At 38.5% G+C, this 23,070-nt stretch overlaps 2 gene segments (V, D, J or C) and 1 further gene, besides 8 other annotated features; all 3 read left to right on the forward strand.

The window, feature by feature from the left end:
* Positions 1 to 23,070, forward strand: part of TRA (T cell receptor alpha locus) — a 930,229-nt gene that overhangs the window by 104,930 nt on the left and 802,229 nt on the right.
* Positions 9,386 to 9,425: a sequence feature (TRAV4 leader sequence).
* Positions 9,386 to 10,149, forward strand: TRAV4 (T cell receptor alpha variable 4). The segment is given in 2 exon segments: positions 9,386 to 9,425; positions 9,862 to 10,149. Coding segments are annotated over 2 exon segments (328 nt in total), but the record flags the coding sequence as incomplete, so codon positions are not given.
* Positions 9,862 to 9,872: a sequence feature (TRAV4 leader sequence).
* Positions 10,157 to 10,179: a recombination feature (spacer).
* Positions 10,180 to 10,188: a recombination feature (nonamer).
* Positions 22,357 to 22,408: a sequence feature (TRAV5 leader sequence).
* On the forward strand, positions 22,357 to 22,872 carry TRAV5 (T cell receptor alpha variable 5). The segment is given in 2 exon segments: positions 22,357 to 22,408; positions 22,585 to 22,872. Coding segments are annotated over 2 exon segments (340 nt in total), but the record flags the coding sequence as incomplete, so codon positions are not given.
* Positions 22,585 to 22,595: a sequence feature (TRAV5 leader sequence).
* Positions 22,880 to 22,902: a recombination feature (spacer).
* Positions 22,903 to 22,911: a recombination feature (nonamer).

Here is a 23,070-nt window from a genome sequence, read left to right on the forward strand (position 1 = left end):
TTCAAAAAATGCTCTATGAGATGAGGATATAGGAATAGCTTAGCTGTGAAAGAAGACAGAAGCAGTCTGTAATGGGAGGAGAGTTTGAATCAAGGAAGGGTATAAACGTGTAGTTCTTATAAGGATAGTTGCTTACGGTTCCTATGTTCACATCTTCCTTATGCTCTTGAGAGGAACTGGACTTAATGCACTTTTCTCTCTTTATCTTTTCCCAAATTTGAGTGTCGTGGGAAGGGCTCTGTTTGACTCAGTGTGAGTTAGGTGGCTTTTCCTTGGACTAATCAGTGGTGGCCATGGGTACAGGCTGCTTGGATTAGCCCAGCTTGGCTTCCACCTTTGGTGGCTGGGGGTGGGAGTGAGGATTCTGCAAGTTAGCAGCTCTATTTTGAACTGCCTGGTTAAAAGGAGTATGTCCCCAAATAAGTTAATTTTTACACAGGGATCTACATCTGTTTATTTTTTCCCCCAAATGGATAGCCAGTAGTTCTTACACCACCTCCTGAAAAATTCACTTTTGCCCCATAGATTTGAAATACCATATTTATAGTACATTAAATTCCTAGATATACTCAGATCTACTTTTGAACTCTTGATTTTTATAGTTTTGTGCTAGAATGTGCTGCTTTAGGGAGATTCACCCTGCAGCCTTTGGTTTGTACCTTGTGATTTACCAGCCTTCTTTTCCTATCCTTCAATCCATCACATACCTTGAGAAGCCTTATACACAAGGATGTGGACACCTTAGCCCACATGTCTACAGTCCAGGCAAACAGTGATCTTTTGGCCACCCATTGGGCCTAGAGTTGTGTACACAGGTGGGATATCTGCTTCTGGGAAGATAATCCTTGAGATAGGCCCATGCAGATCTTAAAAGTGTGTTTGGGGATGTTTGTGCAGGGAATTCTGAAATCCTAGTACCCAGAATATGGTCAAGAAGAGGTATTTAGACTCTAAAGGGCTATGTCTCCTTTGTCCTGTGATTTTCTCACAGGGAAAGGGATAAGAATAGCTGAATAATAGCTGGGGTGGAGGCACAGAACTCTGAGCAGGGACGTCACTTGCTCAGGTCTAAGGGTGGCAGTGTTCTGTACCATTACTGCCAGAATACATTTGTATTCATGAAACCATGGTATCTGTTTTAGATTTAAGTATACAGTTGCCATAACTCTAGGTAAGCTCTCAGCCACCATCACTGTTTTCACTCCAAAGGAAGTTCATGTCCACAGGGATATTTTTATCACATTACACCATTGACCTGGCTGTGTGGCCTGTTTCTGCCTTTGATACTTATAAATACAATTTATGCAAGTCCTGCAAAGGAAAGAAGTCTTTCTATACAATTATGATGTATTTATTCATTTAGCTATTCACTTATTCACTCAATGATTATTTGTGGAGTTTTGACTATGTGCTTGGCATTGTTATCATCCCTGCAGATGCAGTGGTGAACAAATCTTTCCCTCCAGTCATTCCCCAGGCTGCACACGTGTTCATATCACTTCCCTACCCAAACAGAACTACTTCTTAGTCAAAGAGATACAACTCTCAAGATGATTTCCTTCTCAGGAAAATTCTCCAAGGTTAAGCTAAGCCTTAGATATTAATCTTTTGTCATGTGGTAGTGATTGGTGGTGGTGGTGATGGGAGGGGAGTTATGTAGGGAAATGAGAATCTATATTTTCCCCCTTTTTTAAGGTGGCTCAGAGGGAACAACTATGTCTTTTTAGAAGTTCTGTTTTGACTTAAAGAAAAGTTAGTCTAGCATTCCTTTTTCCTGTTTGTTGGGAAATACTCCTTATAAACAGATAAACTTCAGGAAAAATGAGAAATTCTGGAAAACTTATCTTCATAAGGTTTATTTTTCTCCCCCCTTTTATATCACTTCAAGAACTTTGTGGAAAGAGAACTGAATTAAGAATTAGGGAGCATAGGTTGTTTCTGATTCTTCCTCTAAGTAACTATGTGACATTGGACATGCCATTTCTACTCTATGTGCCTCATCTCTTAATTAATGAAATTGAGATAACTGGAAGGATTGTTGTGAGGATTGCTTTATGTGTGACATATGTCTTGGACCCCAAATAAGAGTGGGTATTTAGGTGGGCAGAGCAATCAGATACCTAAGACACCAACACTGTGGAGCCCTTATAACTGCCCTGAACTGCTGACATTTGAACTGTATCATGATAAATTACTTTATTTTGGCCTTTGTTACATCAGTTGGCCCTGTATTCTAATTTAATCTTCGATACCTGAAAACTGCTTTCAGAAAAGGAGCTAATATTATCTGTGTACATTGTAGTTAAGTTGCGTTTAAGCACCAACTTAAAAAAGCTATTTGTGGAATCACAGCTTTTGTCCTTGAAATACACTTTTAAGCATTTTAGAGAAAGTAAAGGTAGGGAAACACGTTTTGGGGAAGAAAAGTTGTCCTGGTTTTGCTGAGAACACTATGTAGACAGTCATCTTCTCATCCATGTGAGAATCTGTCTCTGCCTGGATACAAGGGAGACACCTCTCCCTGCAGTCTTCCCATGCTACATTCAGTCCTCCCTCCTCTCATCTTTCCCTGATTGTGTAGTGAGTTTCACTGGGTTCTCTGAAAGAATCTTTGAATTCCATTCTAATTCTCAAAAATTGTGCTTCTGTGATATGCAAGAGTTGGTGGGGTTCCACCATGAATTCCAGGAGAGGCCATAGGTAAGCTGTGGTCACTTGCTGTCATCAGCACTGCAGGGATCCCACACATATCCTGCAAAATGCCTCCTTCTGCAGTATAAGTAATGAACAAGTATTAAGTAAAGTGATATTTCATTTAACTATTAAATTAGCAATTGTAAACTGTATAAACAATATTGACAAAGAGTAAATGGGTACTGAAGTGTACTATTGATGGCATAAACTCATATGATGCTTTTGGGAGGCAATCTGGCAATCTTCACTGTGTCTCTTTTCTCACTTTTTACTTGCTCTTTTACCCACTGAAGTGTGGTTTTAACTTCCACCATTGGCCCAAACTATTCTTGCCAGGGTTAACAACAGTTTCTTGGGTTACATCCAATGAATGATTGATTATTCCCTCTTTGAAACCTGGTCCTCTTTCGGTTTCTGGTATACCACTTTCCCTTTAAAAAAAAAATTTGAGAGCTGATTTTCAATAGATCACAGTGAGGGAGCTGCTCTGCTATGTGTGAAACCCCAGCCTACCTCTTTCTTTTTGATGTTCTTATATCTTTGGCTGAACCTGCACTGTCTTTTTTCATGGGCTTTTCTTCTGCTCACTCTTTTATCGGGAACCTGCCCTGATATTCACGTAGGTTCCTTTCTATTTTTCCCAAGCGTCAGCCGGCTTGAGAAATAAAGGGACAGAATACAAAAGAGAGAAATTTTAAAACTGGGTGTCTGGGGGAGACATCACGTGTCAGTAGGTTCCGTGATGCCCCACAAGCCACAGAAACCAGGAAGTTTTTATTAGGGAGTTTCAAAAGGGGAGGGAGTGTGCGAATAGGTGTGGGTCACAGACATCAAGTACTTTACAAGGTAATAGAATATCACAAGGCAAGTGGAGGCAGGGTGAGATCACAGGACCACAGGACCGAGGTGAAATTAAAATTGCTGATGAAGTTTCGGGCACCATTGTCATTGATAACATCTTATCAGGAGACAGGGTTTTGAGATCAACCGGTCTGACCAAAATTTATTAGGCGGGAATTTCCTCTTCCTAATAAGCCTGGGAGCGCTATGGGAGACTGGAGTCTATTTCACCTCTGCAGTCTCGACCATAAAAGACAGGTGCACTTAGGGGGCTGTTTATAAGCCTATACCTCCAGGCGCGTATTCTCTTTCTCAGGGATGTTCCATGCTGAGAAAAAGAATTCAGTGATATTTCTCCCATTTGCTTTTGAAAGAAGAGAAATATGGCTCAGTTCCCCCCGGCTCACCGCGGTCAGTTTAAGGTTATCTCTCTTATTCCCTGAACAATTGCTGTTATCCTGTTCTTTTTTCAAGGTGCCCACATTTCATATTGCTCAAACACACATGCTGTACAATTTGTGCAGTTAATGCAATACTTACAGGGTCCTGAGGTGACATACATCCTCCTCAGCTGACAGGATTAAGAGATTAAAGTAAAGACAGGCATAGGAAAGCACAGGGGTATTGATTGGGGAAGTGATAAGCGTCCATGAAATCTTTACAATTTATGTTTAGAGATTGCAGTAAAGACAGGCATAAGAAATTATACAAGTATTAATTTGGGGAATGAGTAAATGTCCATGAAATCTTCACAATCCACATTCTTCTGCCATGGCTTCAGCCAGTCCCTCCGTTTGGGGTCCCTGACTTCCCGCAACACTCTTTAAAGTTGGTGTTCTTTTTTTTTTTTTTTTTTTTTTGAGACAGTCTCGCTCTTGTCGCCCAGGCTGGAGTGCAGTGGTGCGATCTCGGCTCACTGCAACCTCTGCCTCCCAGGTTCAAGCGATTTTCCTTCCTCAGCCTCCTGAGTAGCTGGGATTACGGGTGCCTGCCACCACCACACCCAGCTAATTTTTGTACTTTTAGTAGAGATGGGGTTTCGCCATGTTGGCCAGGCTGGTCTCGAACTCCTGGCCTCAGGGGTCCGCCAGTTGGTGTTCTTTAGGATTCTTCCCTTGACCTATTTATTTTCTCAGTCAAAAATTCTTTCTGGGTAATATTATCCATGCTCATGCTTCCACTATTATTTGCTGATTATTTTCAGCTCATATATCTCTTCTGAGCTTCAGTTTAATATATCAAACTGGGTTTTTGACCTGTGTGAATTTTCCAGAAGCACCTTAAATCAAATGGTGCAAAGCTTAGCTCTTTATCTTTCTTCCTTTCTCCCCCACTTCACCATATGAAACAAAACAAAACAAGATAAATTTGCTCCTTCTTTTGTGTTTTTCATATCAAACAACAGGACCATCATCTACCCAAGTGCCATCCACTCTCTTGCTCCAAGCCTGTCCAGATGCTGTGCCTTCTGCCTCTTTCTATTCAGCTCAGTCTTCATCATGCTCATTCTTCCTCTTCTCTTAGGTTTTAGTTTAGGTGAGTGTCACTCCTTCTGGGAAGTCTTCCTGCAGTCCTACAACCAAAACCATTTCACTTCCTTGTGTTGCTATAGTACTCTATGCTTTCCCTACTATGGCTGTTATCATGAGGACTATCATTGCTTTTAAAATCCTCTTCCTTCTCACTAGACCACTGGGTCTTTCTTGTCATTGAATGGCCAGTGTCTACCTCAGTGCCTGACTGTAAAAGGGGCTCCACAAATATTTGTTTATTGAATAAATGGATACTTCCCAAGACTCTTAAAATGTTCTTACACGAATCCAGGAAATCCTCTTTGCAGAAGCTAGTCTAAATAAATAATTGGAAGTTTAGACAAAGATTTATGTACAAAGGTTTTTATGATAGTATTCTTTCTAAAATCCAAATGTCTAATACTAAAGAAATTGGTAAATAAGTTATAGCACATTTGTACCATGGACTATGTTGAGGCTATTAAAATTGGATTTTTATGTATACTTGTTGACAAAAAAAAAGTTTGGAAAAGAATATTAAGTTGAAAAAACCTCCAGCATGTGCAAATGTGTGTGTGTTCATGTGCACACAATTCAATTGTGCTAACAATAGTCATGCAAAAACAAAGGATTAAAAAGCGGTATGCCTCAATATTATCAATGATTTTTTTCTGGGATATGGTATTACACGTGATTTTAAAACACTTTCCTATATTTTCCAAATTCTGTATTTAGAATTCATTATTCTTCTAACCAGAAAAAAAATCCCACTTAAAAAGAATTTAAAATATCCCTCTTGTAGTTGGCTATTGCTATAGGGCGTGGTTTTCTTCCATAACCTTAGGAACTTTCTAAAATTTGCTTTAACAATGGTCTAAATTTTTTATTACAATATACATAAAAAACAACATTAATGTATGTGATATGCTCCTATGTGTTCACCCAAACACTTTTGAACACCAAAAAATGTTTTGCAAAGGAGTATATATATATTAGTTAAGGTTCTCCAGAGAAGCAGAACTAATAGGATGTCTATCTATCTATCTATCATCTATCTATCTATCTATCTATCTATCTATCTATCTATCTATCTATACATAAATATTTATTGGAATATGTATATTTATTGGAATATACGTGTAATTATTGGTTATATATAAATCTTGGTCCAAGTCTAAAGGCTCAAGAATCAGAAGCACTGATGTTAGAGGGCAGGGAAGATGGATGTCCCAGCTCAAGGAGAGAGAGAAAAGTTGTCCTTCCTCTGCCTTTTTGTTCTATTCAGGCCCTCAGTGAATCGGATGATGCCCACCTGCATTGATTAGGGTAGTCTTTACTCAGTCTACCAGTTGAAACGTGAATCTTTTCTGAAAACACCCTCACAGACACACCCCACAATAACATTTTACCAGCCACCTGGGTATCCTTTAGCCTAGCCAGGTTGACACATAAAGTCAACCATCACAACCTACTTAACATATAATATATAATATAATTATTAGCACCATATATTAGTTTGCTAAGGCCGTGGTAACAAGAGGCCACAAACTGGGTGGCTTAAGCAACAGAAATGTATTGTTTCACAGTTCTGGAGGACAGGAGTTCAAAATCAAGGTGTTGGCATGGTTGTTTCCTTCTGAGGGCTGTGATGGAAGGACCTGTTCTACGCCTCTGTTCTTGGCTTGTAGATGGCCATCTTCTCCCTGTACCTCTTCAAATTTTTCTTCTGTTTTTGTCCATTTCGGTGTCCATATTCCCCCTTTTTGTAAGGACACCAGTCATCGTTCACCAGTTTGGATTCGAGCCCACCCAAATACCACATTTTAACTTGATTTCCTGTAAAAACTGTTTCCAAATAAGGTCACCTTCTGAAGTACTAGGGATTTGAACTCCAATATGCATATATATTTTTTGGGTGGGAGGAAAACACAATTCAACCCACAACACACCACTACCATCAGTAATTACTTTCATTCCATAGGCTGAGGGATAGAAAAACTTCCAGTGTTTCTACCTCCAGTTGCCTGGTATCCAGTAATATTCTCCAAAGTGAGGTAACAGGTGGCAACACGGAAACTTCAAGTTCCGTTTTTTGGCCTGAAAAAGGAAGACCATTTTGGCTTGGTGATATTTCCTGCATTAAACATAGTTTGTATTTCTTTTTTTTTTTTTGAGACAAAGTCTGGCTCTGTTAACCAGCCTGGAGTGCAGTGGCGCCATCTCAGCTCACTGCAACCTCCGCCTCTCGGGTTCAAGCGGTTCTCCTGCCTCAGCCTCCCGAGTAGCTGGGACTACAGGCGCGTGCCACCACCACGACCAGCTAATTTTGTATTTTTAGTAGAGACGGGGTTTCACCGTGTTAGCCAGGATGGTCTCGATCTCCTGATCTCGTGATCTGCCCGCCTCGGCCTCCCAAAGTGCCGGGATTACAGGCGTGAGCCACAGCGCCCGGCCCATAGTTTGTATTTTTATAGAACACTCTCGTTTAGAAATAACTTACTTATGTTCATTTAATCCTTATAATCTCTGTTGCCGAGATGAAGAAATTGTGCCTCTCAAATGGTGATTTGAACAAAATCTCACAGCTATCAAATCCAAAGGATTGTTTCAATTCAGTGTGTCTAACTTATCACTCAGTGTTTTCTTCCATAACTGAAAATAGACTTCATAGTCCAAACCAAGCTCTCTGCTATTGCGTTTACAAAGAAATGTGACGTTCCATAAATTGTGCCGATCTGAGACCTACTGACTTGTGTGAAACATTTTTTCTGAGTATAGTTACCACAAGAGGTCGCTGTTGCAACGAGTTGCGTTTAAAGGGTAACCCATTTATTTTCATTTCTGTACAAGGTGTTCTAGTATCTTCAGGTCCCTCATAAAAACATCTTTGCTCCTTCACTTGTTACTGAGGAAAGCCTGGTTATTTATTTCATGACCTGTGATAGCTCCTCTGTCAAAATGTTACTAGAAGCCATCAACACTCACTGATTTTTTTTTGCATGGGAAAATGGAAAAATTGCTGATTCAGAATGCTTTCGGCAATTCTAGACCTAGAAGAGGCACCTCCCAAATATTTTCCAGTGATTTTTTTCATTCCTATATTATAAGAGAAAAGAACTCAAACAACATACCACTATCTTTTCCATATTAATGTGAGTATGTAACAGGTTTTGTTTCTAGCATTTGGCTGATTCAATGAGTACTACTGTGTCTTTTGGATTCAATGAATACTACTGTGTCTTTCGGCTCTTTTCCTGAATGGCTTTATTTTTCTTTTCAGTTTTTGTGCTTCTGTTATAGGATTTATACTAATTATTTCCTGAAGGAAGTGTGTACAGTAACTACAAAAAATTAGATATATAATCCTACACGACTGCCTTCTACTAGCCATGGTACTCTGCGCTCTGAATCAGATGAGAAGAAAGGGAAAGGAACTATAATTTACTGTTGACTACGTGCCACAGATTGAAACCCTGAAATACATATTATTGTTCCCATTTTACAGATGAAGAAACCAAGACTCAGAGGAGTGAGCTGCCTGAGGTCACAAGGTGGCAGAGTTGAGATTTAGATTTAGATCTGTCTGACACAGCCTGTGCCTTTTCTTCTTGTTCACCTTACCTCCTCCTTGGTTAAGTGAGTGATTCCAGACCAAATGTCCTATCCTAGCTGGTCAGCAGGGACTAATGAGAGGTTTGTTCCTCTGTTTAATATCTGTTACACAGGGTCTGAGAAGAAGGTATTAGTTGTGGACTTAGTGGGATTATAAATGATCCCAGGGAATCAGGAGATGGAATGTCCAGTCCAGACTGCCTCATTTGCTCTTTCTTGGAATAGGATTAGGAATCCCTGTTTCTTCTTGGCTAAATAGGGGTCAGTGGAGCACTGCAGGGCATAAAGTAACAAGTCAGGCAGGTTACACTTAGACCATGACTGTCAATGAGTCCATGAGTGTCAGACCGACTACAGTACATGACCACCCTCTCGGGCTGTGGAAAGTAATGTAATGGGGAATAGGAGCCCAATGTAATCTACCTTCTCATAGCTTTGCCTCATTTGGACCAAATCTTTAAGGGATTAGACCTCTGCAAAGATCTAAAATGAAATTCAGGCTGCTGTGCTTCAGTACCAGCAGTTTTCACTCCCTACTCTTCTTGGGGCTTTAGCTGAACTTTGAGGGGAGCCCTGCTCTGAGGAGCTGCTGCCCTGCTATTGGCTGCTGTACTGGGGCAGCCTGAGTGACAGCTGCTGGTGTGGGCCCTGGCAGTTGCTGCTGGGCTCATTGCAGCTCAGACACAGCAAAAGAGCCTAGAACCTGGGTCCTAGTTTGCACCTAGAATATGAGGCAAGTGGCGAGAGTGATCGTGTTCCTGACCCTGAGTGAGTTATTTTGGGATGAAGAGGAATGGGATCTGGGCCTGATGATGCTGGAAAGGAATCTGGAACTTTGCCTGCTAGCAGTTGCTCTTTATCCAAGATGTAGAGGGATAGCTTCAGGGTTCCATTTTTCTCCAGGCAGCTCCTGAGCATTTATGTGAGATGTGTCTCAGGGCAGCAAAGATTTTCGGGGTTTCTAATCCCTAGGGTCTATCCATGGGAGGGAGATAGTAAACCTGACACTTCTGTGTATGCCTGGGATAAATATTTTTGTACTGAAACATAAATGAGAAGTAAATTGTATGTACATGTATATGGCAGGGAAGTAGAGCGTGGGGATGGATTTGACTGTGAGAGGGAACCGTGGGGCTACTGAGTGGGACCGTCTAACTTACCTTGCTTTCAGGATAGGGGCTAGGATTGTGTTTTACTCCCATAGGTACTTTGAGCCTTGCTAAGACCACCCAGCCCATCTCCATGGACTCATATGAAGGACAAGAAGTGAACATAACCTGTAGCCACAACAACATTGCTACAAATGATTATATCACGTGGTACCAACAGTTTCCCAGCCAAGGACCACGATTTATTATTCAAGGATACAAGACAAAAGTTACAAACGAAGTGGCCTCCCTGTTTATCCCTGCCGACAGAAAGTCCAGCACTCTGAGCCTGCCCCGGGTTTCCCTGAGCGACACTGCTGTGTACTACTGCCTCGTGGGTGACACACAGTGAGACAGATGGGCCTGCACCTGTGCCGTTTTCCTCTGTGGGGTGGGAGTCACAGCCTAGAAAGAAGTCCAAAAGTGCTTTCTAAAATTTTTATTTTCAAAAGGTATTAGCAAATTTATGTATTCTTCTACTATTTGCAAAATCAATCTTATTTATTTTTTAAATAGGTATTTCACTTATGTGATCTAAAATTAAAAAAGTATAAAAGGGCATACAGCATGATGTCTTCCTTCCACCATGGTCCCTGAGTACTCAATTATCAAAGTGAGGTATCTGTGGTATTTATACTATTGTTGCTAAGTTCACTGGTACTCCTCAGTTTGTGTGTATAGATAGACACACACTACATATACTTTATATGCATACCACGCACAGTCAACATGGGCAATATGCTTCTTAGCTTTTGAAACATTTAGCCTAAGTATCAGGTTATTATTTATAGCTGCACACATTTTGAACATTTCTGTGGCCATTTCCAAGTATCTACATGCTGGTTTCCATGCGTCCCCTGAGATTAGATCTCTCACTCTCTCTGTTGCCTGTCTTTCTCTTTTCTTTTGTCCCACTTCCCTATTGTGGATGGTATGTAATGGAAAATGGAGGTGATGGTAGAGGAGGAGATGGGAGAGAATTTGTTTCTGATTTGCATTGTAGACTATTTTTGAAACATTTAAATCAGAAATGGATTCTGGATCATTATTAGTTTTTAAAGTTGGGTTCTTTGAGGCTCCAAAGAGAGAAGAATAACAGAAAATTTGCTGAAAATCCTGCTTGGGCTCCTGAGGCTTCATTAGGATCATGGGGTATGTTTTTGTTTGTTTGTTTTTTGTGGGATGTTGTCTCTGATTTTGATCACAAGGAAAGCAATATTTGATAATTTTTTTATTGAGAATGAGAGGATCAGGCTATGTGGCAGGAGGAGGTTTCCATCTAGTTCATCTGAGGGTTTGGTGGGGGAGTAGTATTGTGGAAAGAAAACAAACATTTGTAGAGTATTCGAGCCTATACACTCATCTCCTTTGTCTGACTTCTCTACACAGTGACGAGGAGCTGGCAGAAAGTGGGAGTCCTGGTCCCCAAATGTCCAGGATGCAGCCAACTCTTCTCTGAAGTGCTCCACTATTTCCAGTACTTCATGTGGCACAGACAATATCCTCAAAAAAGCCTAGGGTTTCTGATTTTCATATTCTCAATGGAGAAAATGAGGAAGGAATATTTACAGTTCATTTGAATAAAGACAATGAATACACCCCTTTGCACAAAACAGACCCAAAGGCTGGCGACTCTGACACCTACATCTTTGTGAGAAGCTCAGAGTGATTCCAAAGTCCCTGGAGAGCCTCTGCCCAAAGCCGCACTCCAGTCATAAGAGTTGAGAGAGTGGGATAGAGGGACATCTCTGTAATGTTCCTGCCTACTTATGAAAATCAATACCCACGTATGAGAGGCTGTGTGGGATTATCTAAAGAAGATACTATACTATTCTGTAGATAATTGATCTGGAAAAGGTGGAATATTGGATTGGAAAATTTCAAAATGTTTTCTACCCACTTGGAGTTCATCCCATGCCTGCTCTTGGGATCTTGGTTGGATGATGCCTTTGGGGTAGTCCAGAGGAAAAGAGCTGTGCTGTGGAGATGGGGAGCCGGGTTACGGTCCAGGTTGTTTCAAGGAGGAACTGACTGTGAGGAAACAACACAACTAGCTTTTGTTTCAAGGTCTGCTTTTATGAACAGGTATCTGTATGTTAGCCATTTTGGAAGAAAGAGTTGAACAGCCACTGAGGGATGGTAGAAGGGGCACTCTAATTCTAGTTGTACTTTATTTTTACTACATGCTCTGGGCAGCAAAACAGACTGGAAAAATAATCAGCTCTAAAGCCAGGCATTCCTGGGTTTGAATCTGAGATCTCCTGCTGTAAAGAGTTTGACCTTAGTCAAATACTTTTGGCATTTGAGCTTTAATACTTTGTCTATAAAATGAGGGTCATAATACTATTTTTCCAGGGTTCTTCTGTGGTTAAAAGACTATCACTAAGAATGTCCTGGTTTAATCAGCACTCATCAGATTAATGCTATCTATATCCTGCATTATCATTGCTATTAAACCTCACCTGCCAACCCAAAAAGCTGTTTGGAGGATGACATCACATACTGGGTGTTCAGACTCTTCAGAAACTGAAAAAGACCTGAGCCAATACAAGAACATTTTTTTGGGAGTTAAAACTCTTGGTCTGTGACAAAAAGATCAATAAATTGATCAATAAATTGATCTGCTATTTCTCTGTAGAAAGATCACATGATTTTTTTAAACAAAATGATGTCCCCTCAGAAGGGGAGATGTTGGGAGGGGAAAGGGAGATGCAAAATTACTTGTTGGGTACAATGTACACTACTTGGGTGATGGGTGCACTAAAATCCTTGAACTCACCACTATAGAATTCATCTATGTAACCAAAAACCACGTTTACCCCTAAAGCTGTGAAATAGAAAAAAATTTTAAAAATGAGGCCAGGGTCATACCATTATTTTTTTCTCTGAGAGAGAAACAGCCAAAATTATTTCATTTGGAACTCATTAGTACATTTACTCAGCAAATGTTTATTTTGTATTATGATGTGATAGGCAATGATGTAATGGAGGAAGTACCTTATTCTCCAATATAGATAAGTTTTCTGCACAAACGGAGGTTTTATTCTTCTGTGGGCAGACAACACAAACAAAGAAAAAAATGATTTCCAAATATAAGTGACATTTGGAAAACAAAATAGGGTAATGTGAAGGAGAATCATGGTGGTTATGGAGGTCATTTAGTGGTGACATTTGAGCTGAATCTTGAATGACAGAAAAATGACAAAACCATTTAAGACCTGGGGTAAGAAAGAGTTTTCAAATGCAACAATGGTCCTTAGGCAGAGCATGTTTGCTGCATTTATGACAGAAGCTGGTGTTCCCTGAATATAGTGAGAAGGAGAGTGGTAGGAAATAATGTCAAAAAGGTAGTTATGGACTTGAAAATACAAAGCCTTGTAAATCATGGTTAGATTCAGATTTTATTCTACATGTATTGGGAAGTATTTGACTACCTAATTTATATTTTAGAAGGATCACTCTTCGTGCTCTGGGGAATGGCTCATAGGGTTGGCATGGGGAGAGACTAGGGCACAAAGACAGTTAGAATTTGCAGGGGACCCAGTGAGACCTGATGGAGGTATAGACTAGGTGGTAGAAGTGGGAATGAAGAAACATGGATGAATTAACTTATATTTTGGAGGTAAAAAATAGATCTTAATGATGATTTGTATATGGCAGATGGGGAAAAAAAGAGAGTCGATGATGACTTTTAAGTTTTTGGCTTATGTAGTTACATGGAAGATGAGATAGGGAATTCTGAGAGAGGAAATATTTTTGATTATAGTAGGCAGGTAAAAGTGTCATTTCAGATATGTTAAGTTAGAGATGTCTATAAGGCATTCAACTGTAGTTGTTGACCAGGGAGTTCCATATTGAGCCTGGAGCTAACAGAGGACATAGCTGGCCTATGGGATAGTGTTCAAGCCACGCATTGAATGAGATCACTTAGGGAAAGAGTGTGGATGGAGAAGAGGTTCTTAACCTGAGCACTTGGACTGTCAGTTGAGGTTTAATAGCGAAGGAAAAATCAGCAAAGGAGATCGAAGTCTATTAGTGAATTGGAAGGGAAGCCAATAGAATGTGCTGTCACAGAAGGCAAAACAAGAAAATGTTTCAAGGAGTGGTCAATTGTGTCTACTATACTACTTCTGGGTTTGGGTGGGAGCTTATAGTGTGAAAAGAAGAATTAGTCAGAAGAGACAGATGGAAAATAACTTCAACTGGAAAGGATTAATGATATAATCCATTAGTGTTCTTATTCCTGCATTTAAAATTTTCATGAAATTTTATATATTGACTTTTTTTCTTAATGGCTTCTGGCGTTGGTATCACTTAAAAAGGCCTTTGTTGCCTTGCTATTATAAATAACCTTCAATTTATATTTCTTCTATAATTATGTTAGTAGCTTTGTTTTCATACATGGAAACTTTGTGGACAATCATAAACTTATTTTTAGAATATGGAGTGGAGCAGCGACCCAGTTTTATTTTTCCCCAATATTTATTGAGCGACGCATCCTGTCTTCACTAATCTGAAATTGCGTATTTCTCTAAGAATTTGGGTCTCTGTCTTGCCTCTATCTGTCCTCTCATTGCTATTTGTGCACATATTCCATACTCATTTAATTACTTGACAAATTATTTGATAAATTATTTCAGTAGTATTGGACCCAGTTTATGTACTTTCCTGCTTTAATTTGGCCATTGTTTTCTGCTCAGTGTTACCGCTAATCCTCCGGGAAAACTGCCTAGTACAAACTGCATTCTCTAATCTGGAGAGAGAAAGTTAAACTTCTGTAGGAAAAAGTTGCCTCAAGTCATAGTTGCGTTTGCTGAGGGGCAGGGACCACTGAAGTGGCTCTCCTGATCTCTCATGTTACTTGCAGGCAAAGGAGAATTTACCATGAAACTCCTCATTTCAGAGGCATTTTCCAAAATTTCTTTAGTGGGAGGTCCTGTAATGCTGCAGTTCCCAACCTTTTTCGCACCAGGGACTAGTTTCATGGGAGACAATTTTTCCACAGACCAAGGGAGTGAGGATGATTTCGGGATGAAACCATTAGCTCATCAGGAATTAGTTAGGTTCTCATAAGAACTAGGCAACCTAGATCCCTCTCATGCACAGTTCACCGTAGGGTTTGCGCTTCTATGAGAATCTAATGCCATTGCTGCTCTGACAGGAGGCAGAGCTCAGGTAGGTTTTATGATCAGAAAAATATTAAACAAAATTTAACAGCCTTGGAAAAGTTATTTATAAACATTGCATTTTATTTAAGAGGTTGAATATATACATTGTTTTGCCATTTTGAATTTATTAGCAGTGTGGCAAAGTTAGCTTAATTTGCTATTAGTAAAACTGAAAACCATTTGATAAGCTCTTAGAATTATGCTAATTTGTCTGAACGGTAGTAGAAGCTATTTTAATTAAAAACTGTAGCTATATAGTTTAATCTATATAGTTTAACCCTCATAATTTGATAGAATTGAGATCATAGGTGTTGTGAAGTATGACTAATGCCCTAATATAAATAAACAAGTAATAAACTGTCATAAACAGTCTCAATATACTCTGAATTCTTTCTTCCAACAGATTTAATTTGTATAGACAATAGTAATACATTCGGATAAAAATTCCAAATTTGATTTCACTTATACTTGTTGATGTTTGTAATGAGAGAGTCTTTCTGCGTATGTTAAAATTCATATGTTAATAGGTGTTTTAAGGAGCTTGTAAAAAGAGATGACTATGGAAACACATAATTACCCTAAATTTTCATCTTTCATTTGAAAACAAATTTCTCTTAAATTTAGGATTTTTAAACAACCTATTATCTGTCTTTGATCAAATGGAAATTTAATATATGTAAATAGGCACCGATGTTTGCAAGTAAACGGCATAAAGAGTGGTAAAGTAAGTTATGTGAGGGATGTTTTTTAAGTAACAAGAAGAAAAAATGTTATGATTTGTCGGTAATATGTATAAAATAACACTGTGAATATTTGGGAAATACACAAATGAGAAAAAAATTTAAAAATGCTGTTTGAAGGTTCCAAACAGTGACAAAATATAAGAATATACTGCGGGAGATATGTCACTTGGACAGAAACACACTGAGTGAAGTCCCTGTATGGTGTATGGCACATGGAAATGAAGCTCAAGCAGAAAGCAGCTGTCTTATTGGATTTAGGAGTCAGAGTTTGGAGTTCGGTGCTGACAGAGTAGCTGAAATTCAAGGGGGGATCCAGGAAAAGAAGGATTCACAGTGTGAGGAGTTACAAAATCTTACAAAGCCACACTTAGTTAGGAACTCGGCAAAAATAACAAAAAACAAATAACCCGGCTGGGTGCAGTGGCTCATGCCTGCAATCCCAGCACTTCGGGAGAACCAGGCAGGTGGATTGGTTGAGCCCAGGAGTTCGAGACCAGTCTGGGCAACATGGTAACACCCTGCCTCTACTAAACATACAAAAATTAGCCAGGCATGGTGGTGTGTGCCTGTATTCCCAGCTACTCAGGAGGCTGAGGCAGAAAGTACAACTGAGCCTGGGAGGTCCAGGCTGCAGTGAGCCATGATGGTGCCATTGCATTTCAGCCTGGTGATATAAGAAACCCTGTCTCCAAAAAAAAAAAAAAACAAAAACCAAATATATATATATATAAAATTTATTCACATTATATATATTTTATATATAAATAAATTATTCATGTCCTTTACTCACTTTTTAAACCCCATAAAAAAAGTGAGTAAAGGACATGAATAATTGTTTAAAAGAAGACATAGAAATGGCAACAAGCATATGAAAAAAGGCACAGCATCAATAATCGTTAGAGAAATGCAAATTAAAAGTAATGAGATACCATCTTACACCAGTCAGAATGGCTATTATTAAAAAGTCAAAAAAATAACAGACATTGGCAAGGATGCAGAGAAAAGGGAATGCTTATATAATGTTGGTGGGAATGTAAATTAGGATGACCTCTGTGGAAAACAGTATGGAGATATCTCAAAGCAATAAGAATATAGCTACTATTTGATCCAGCAATCTCACTACTGAGTGTTATTCAAAGAAAAGGAAATCATATCAAAAAGATACATACATTCATATGTTTATCACAGAAGTATTCACAATAGCAAAGATATGGAATCAACCTAATTGTGGGATAAAGAAAATATAGTATATAGACACAATGGAATACTATTCAGCCATACAAAGAATGAAATCATGTCTTTTGCAGCAACATAGATAGAACTGGAAGCCATTATCTTAAGTGAAACAACTCAGAAACAGAAAATACTGTATGTTCTTACTTATAAGTGGGAACTAAATAACGTTTACACATGGACACAGAGAGTGCATAATAGACACTGGAGAGTCTGAAGGGTGGGAGAGTGGGAGGGGGGTAAGAGATGAGAAATTACTTAATAGGTACAATGTACATTATTCAGGTGATGGCTATACTAAAAGCCTAGACTTTATATTCATGTATAAGAAATGCACTTGTAGCTCCTAAATTTATACAAGTTAAAAAAAATAAAACTATCCCTTGGTTGATTCTTGAGCTGTGCAGGCATAAGACAAGACTCTAAGAAAGTAAGTAGAAAACAGCAGCCAGATGGCTGAGAGAAAAGATTTTAGCAGTTACCCTCAACTAGGGCAATAGAATTTTAAATGCAAGTGCTGCCAAGTGAAAGAGGTTGGGTAAAAACTTAGGCTTTCTAATGAAAACCCAGAAGGACCACGCCCTAAAAATAAGAACAATACTCTGGGACTAAAGGGTATACCCTACAAATAGGTCTATACCCTAGAACAAGGACATTTAACAATAAATTAATGCTGTGAGTGTATGTTATCAGCAGAGTCATACTTCAAAAATTATAAAGTATTTTTGTTAGGTGGTTTGTTGACTGAAGGGAAATGATATCAGATGGAATTTATGACCCAAGGAAGTAATAAAGAACATTAAAAATAGTAACTATGTGGAAACATTAAAAAGAGATTACTTTTCTAAGTTTTTCAAAATACAGTTGACAAATGCAAAAATAATAACAATGTATTACACCGTTAATAACATATATAAATAAAATCAACAGCAATAACACAAAAAACTGAAGGGGCATAGGATTAAACTGTTGTAAGATTCTTGCATTATGTATGAAGCTGTATAATATTAATTCAAGAGAGAATCTGATGAACTGAGGATGCATATGATAATCTGTAGATAAACAATTAAAAAACCAAAGCAAAAAGGTTTAGCTAATAGCCAATGGGGGAAATAGAATGAACGAGTATAGAAACTTCTCAAATAAATCAAAAGAAGGGAGAATAAAGGGCATATTAACAAAGACTAGAGGAAAAACATAGAAAATGGATTATCATTGTAGATTCAAACCAAATAAAAATAATTACATTAAATGTAAATAGCATAAACATTCCAAATAAAAGGGAGATTTTCTCAAACTAGACAAAAAGACACAATTGTATGTCATTCACAAAAAATGTACTTTAAAGACAAAGATGAGTTGAAAGTAAGAGGCAACCTATGCCATGCAAATAGCAACCATAAGAAAGCTATGTGTCTTTATTAATATTAAATAATATTTGAAAATGAGGGGTGTTATGAGATAAAAGCGTTATTTAATAATAAACAGAGGGTCACTTGATCAAGAAGAGATAATATTCTCTAAATGTTTATGTACTGATAGTAGAGTTATAAAATATATGAAACCAAATTAACAGAATTAAAGGAGAAATAGGCAAATCTGTAATCAGAGTTGGAGACTGTAAGGCTCCTCTCTAGTAATTGATAGAACAAGAAGACAGAAAGTCAGTAAAAATATACAAGGCTGGAACAATCAACTAGATCTAATTGACATTTATAGAGCACTATACCCACCAAGTGCACTATATACATTCTTTTCAAGTACACACAGAACGTTCATCAAACAGACCATATTTTTAGATGTAAAACAGTCTCAATAGATTTGAAAGGATTAGAATCCTACAGTTTTCTCACCACAATATAATTAATTTAGAAGTCAGTAACAAGGTATACAGTAGAAAATCCCCAAATATTTGCAAATTAAGCAATATACTTCTAAGTCACCCATTGAGAAAAGAAGAAATTGCAAGGAAAGTTAGAAGATATTTTGAAGTAAAAAATGATAAAATATAGCCCGGGCGCGGTGGCTCATGCTTGTAATCCTGGCACTTTGGGAGGCTGAGTTGGGCGGATCACCTGAGGTTGGGAGTTTGAGACCAGCCTGACCAACATGGAGAAACCCCGTTTCTACTAAAAATGCAAAATTAGCCGGGTGTGGTGGCACATGCCTGTAATCCCAACTACTCGGGAGGCTGAGGCAGGAGAATCGCTTGAATCTGGGAGGTGAAGGTTGCAGGTGAGCCGAGATTGTACCATTGCACTCCAGCCTGGGCAACAAGAGTGAAACTGTCTCAAAAACAAACAACCAATCAAAACAAACAAAAAACCCCTTAAAATTTCACAGAAAAATTCTAGGCTCAGGTAGCTTCAAAGGTGAGTTGAATAGAACATTTAATGAAGAATTAATTCTAACCCAACACAAAACAGAAAATAGAAGGAGGGCAGTCCGGCCCCATCTGTAGTCATCCACATTGAATCATCAGCATCAGCATCACCTTGGAATTTGTTAGAAATGCAGAGTCTTAGGCCAAACTCCAGTTCTGGTGATTCAGGATTCTCATTGTAGCACAGTTCCTGAATTTGTACATTTTGTTAAGCAATGTGGTCCTGAAGTGAGGAAGTAAACAGAATGATGAAGGGAGGTGGGAAAAATATTTTTTTCAAGTTCTAGTTTTTTTTTAAAAACTAGTTAATTGTTTTATTTTGTTGAGACTCTAAACTTACCTTAGATTCAATTTTTTTAAATTTGTGAGTGAGATTGGGCTAGAACAGTGGTTCCCCTGTGGGAGCAATTTTATCCTTCAGGGGATATTTTGGAATATCTGGAGATATTTTTTATTGTCGTACAGAGAGTTGAAACTGGCATTTAGTGGAGAGAGGTCAGAGATGCTCTAAACATCCTAAAATGGACAGGAGAGCTTCCAACCAAGAATTATTTTGTACAAATGTTAGTGCTAATATTGACAAACTGTGGACTACAGAATCCTAAGGGTCCTAATAGCTCTGAAACTCTGGGATCCAATTTAACTGAAAAAACATTCACTGAATACTGTGTGCCAAGTTATTATGGTCTTACATTGGTGTGCCAGCGGGGAGACACTGTCCCATAGCATGGGCATACACTATCTGGCCCCTAACCATGTATAAGACCATTGATCTATGCCAACCAGACAATACATGTTCAGAATTTTGAAAAGAATAGGAAAGCTAGGGTCAGCCACTCTCATACTACAAGGAAATCAGTAATTCACTCTCTGACATAAGTAAGAGTAGGCCAAGGACTGTTTATAACTAACCTCATCACTCAGGTGTACTTTCTATTTCATATTATTAATAACAAATTATACTCATTATCCTGTATTTATAAATATAATGTGCATCACATACAGAGTGAAAGAAAAAATGACCAAGGGAAAGAAAAAGTAGATAAATTGGGAGCAAAATGAACATTGCTTATGCATATTGAAATCCATGTCAGTACTAGAAAATAAAGCTATTCCATGCCATTGTTTTTGACAATAAGGCAACATTTTATGAAAAAATCATAGGGGTAGAAATTTTTCCAGACCATAATTGTGAGTAGAGTTATAGTAAATAGGTGGAACAGAAGCAGACCACCTAACGACTAGTATTTTCAACTCTGCATGCTATATATCCGAAGGACAGATATTGACCTAAACTGTTAAGAAAAGTTCAAGGAAAATGCAACTAAGAAATATGATAAAGGATCTGGGAATTATATGATATGATGAATGAGTAAAAGGATAAAACAATTTAAATGAAAACTTTAAATAAATACATTTGATGTATATAAATCTAAATACATTTTGTAATATGTACATATCTTTGTATTTTAGGAAAGTGATTCTGTATAATCACACTTGAGATATATTAGTTATGCCATGCAGATGAGGAATTAGATTAATTTTCTACATTGCTTGGAGATCTACTAAGTCAAAGCACAGGGAAGGGACTCCAACTTGTGAAAAACAGTCAGACCAAGTTTCCCTGGACGGAGAGTAAATTTGCCATTGTCAGTTTCCTACATATATTATGCTACTAACAGGCATTGGTTTTATGCTTACTTATATTTATTATTACAGGAATGAATCAGAAAGACTAAAGAAATTAAAATAGATGATGTAGGGTTTGGATAGAAAATTTAAAATACTGAAGGACTTTATCACAGGGGAATATCCAAACAATGATTTTAGCAATAGACAATAAAATCGAGGGAAAAGTTTTTGGGTCTGAAATCTGAGTTAGCAGTGCCCAGGGTAACAGGAGGGGAAATTCCACTACAGATCATTCATTATTCAGTGATCACATTTGAGGACAAGCCACTCATTCTGACAATAGGAATAAGAATACACTTGGAAAAGGTGTACATTTGTTTACATTATCTCAATCTGTAGTCTGATGTTTCCTGAGATGTTTCCTCTTTTATGTCAATACTTTGCAATAAGTAAGCCACATATCCGTAATTTCAGATGATCTGTTCTTCCAGAGGAAAATATTTCAGAGTGCATGTCAGATTTTTCATCACAATCTATAGGCTAAACTCTTTCCTTTCATTAGACCAATATTATTAACTCATGGAAGCCTTTCTCCCTCCTTTTATCTTTTATTGTATAATTTAGTCATTTTGAAGAAAACAACACTCATGTTTTGACCTCTGGCACTGTCAATTTCCTGGGAATGGCAAGAACAGGAACAAGGCCAGGCTTGGAGGAGCAGAGCCTGAGATAGCATGCATCTGATATATTTAGTGAACCTGTCTTACTCCAATTTTTGTGCTTAAATGCTAGCTTCAGAAAGAGTTTTCCTCTGTGAGTGCTGAAACAGGATGGCTAATTTGGCTGATTGATTTTCTGGCCAATTCAAAAAATAGTAGAGGGATAAGGAGGAAACGTTTTATACCTCAGTAGCTTTGTAGACTGAATCATGGCATTTTCTTAATTTCAAGAAGACTGTCATTAATAAACACGAAAAACCTCTAACTTCTTCAAATATATTTAACGTGACTCAGTAGTGTGCCGAGAAGATGCAATGGAATTCTAAAACCTACGTTTGCACTTTTTCTGTCTGCTAATCCACATAATTTCTGACTGGAGGTACACTTGGAATTTACTTTATTTGGCCTTCTGCTGTTTGATGTGCCAGAATCTCCCACAGATACAGGATAATTGGTTTAGCGTTTGGGGATCTGGCCACAAGGTGGCAGAGCTTCTCTGCTCATGTAGAATGTACGAAAGGATCCTTTTGGTTGACTTCTGTGAGTAGGCTGACGGCAGAAGCAGATGCCTCTGTGGACAGTTTAAGAAACCACAGTGCTTTGGAGGAAAGGAAGAGATACTTGATAATATAGCTCTCTTGGCTGGAGATTGCAGGTCCCAGTGGGGAGAACAATGAAGACATTTGCTGGATTTTCGTTCCTGTTTTTGTGGCTGCAGCTGGACTGTGAGTCGAGAGCTTTTGGGGAACAGAGGGTTTAGTAAATACTCATTAGAAGTCTGAGGAGGAGACTCATCTGGTCTTTTCCAGAATGTCTGAAGTTACTACAGTGAAAAAAATAAAAAAGCAAACTCCAGAGAATGATGGCCTGATGATCTTGTCTGACTTTTCCTTTTGCACAGGTATGAGTAGAGGAGAGGATGTGGAGCAGAGTCTTTTCCTGAGTGTCCGAGAGGGAGACAGCTCCGTTATAAACTGCACTTACACAGACAGCTCCTCCACCTACTTATACTGGTATAAGCAAGAACCTGGAGCAGGTCTCCAGTTGCTGACGTATATTTTTTCAAATATGGACATGAAACAAGACCAAAGACTCACTGTTCTATTGAATAAAAAGGATAAACATCTGTCTCTGCGCATTGCAGACACCCAGACTGGGGACTCAGCTATCTACTTCTGTGCAGAGAGTACACATTGCTTCTCAGGCACCTGTATCCTGTACCCAAACCTGCACCTGGGACTAAAGCCACACTCTATTTCCTTTACCTTTAAGTCAGGGATTTTGCTGTAAGGTATTTTTAATGTACGGACATTACAAAACATCCTAAAAGGTCAGTTTCAAAATGACTTAATGATTTTCAGAACATTTTGATTAAACTCTTTTTGGG

Source organism: Homo sapiens, chromosome 14, assembly GCF_000001405.40.
Source record: "Homo sapiens chromosome 14, GRCh38.p14 Primary Assembly".
In the NCBI taxonomy this organism is placed as follows: domain Eukaryota; kingdom Metazoa; phylum Chordata; class Mammalia; order Primates; family Hominidae; genus Homo; species Homo sapiens.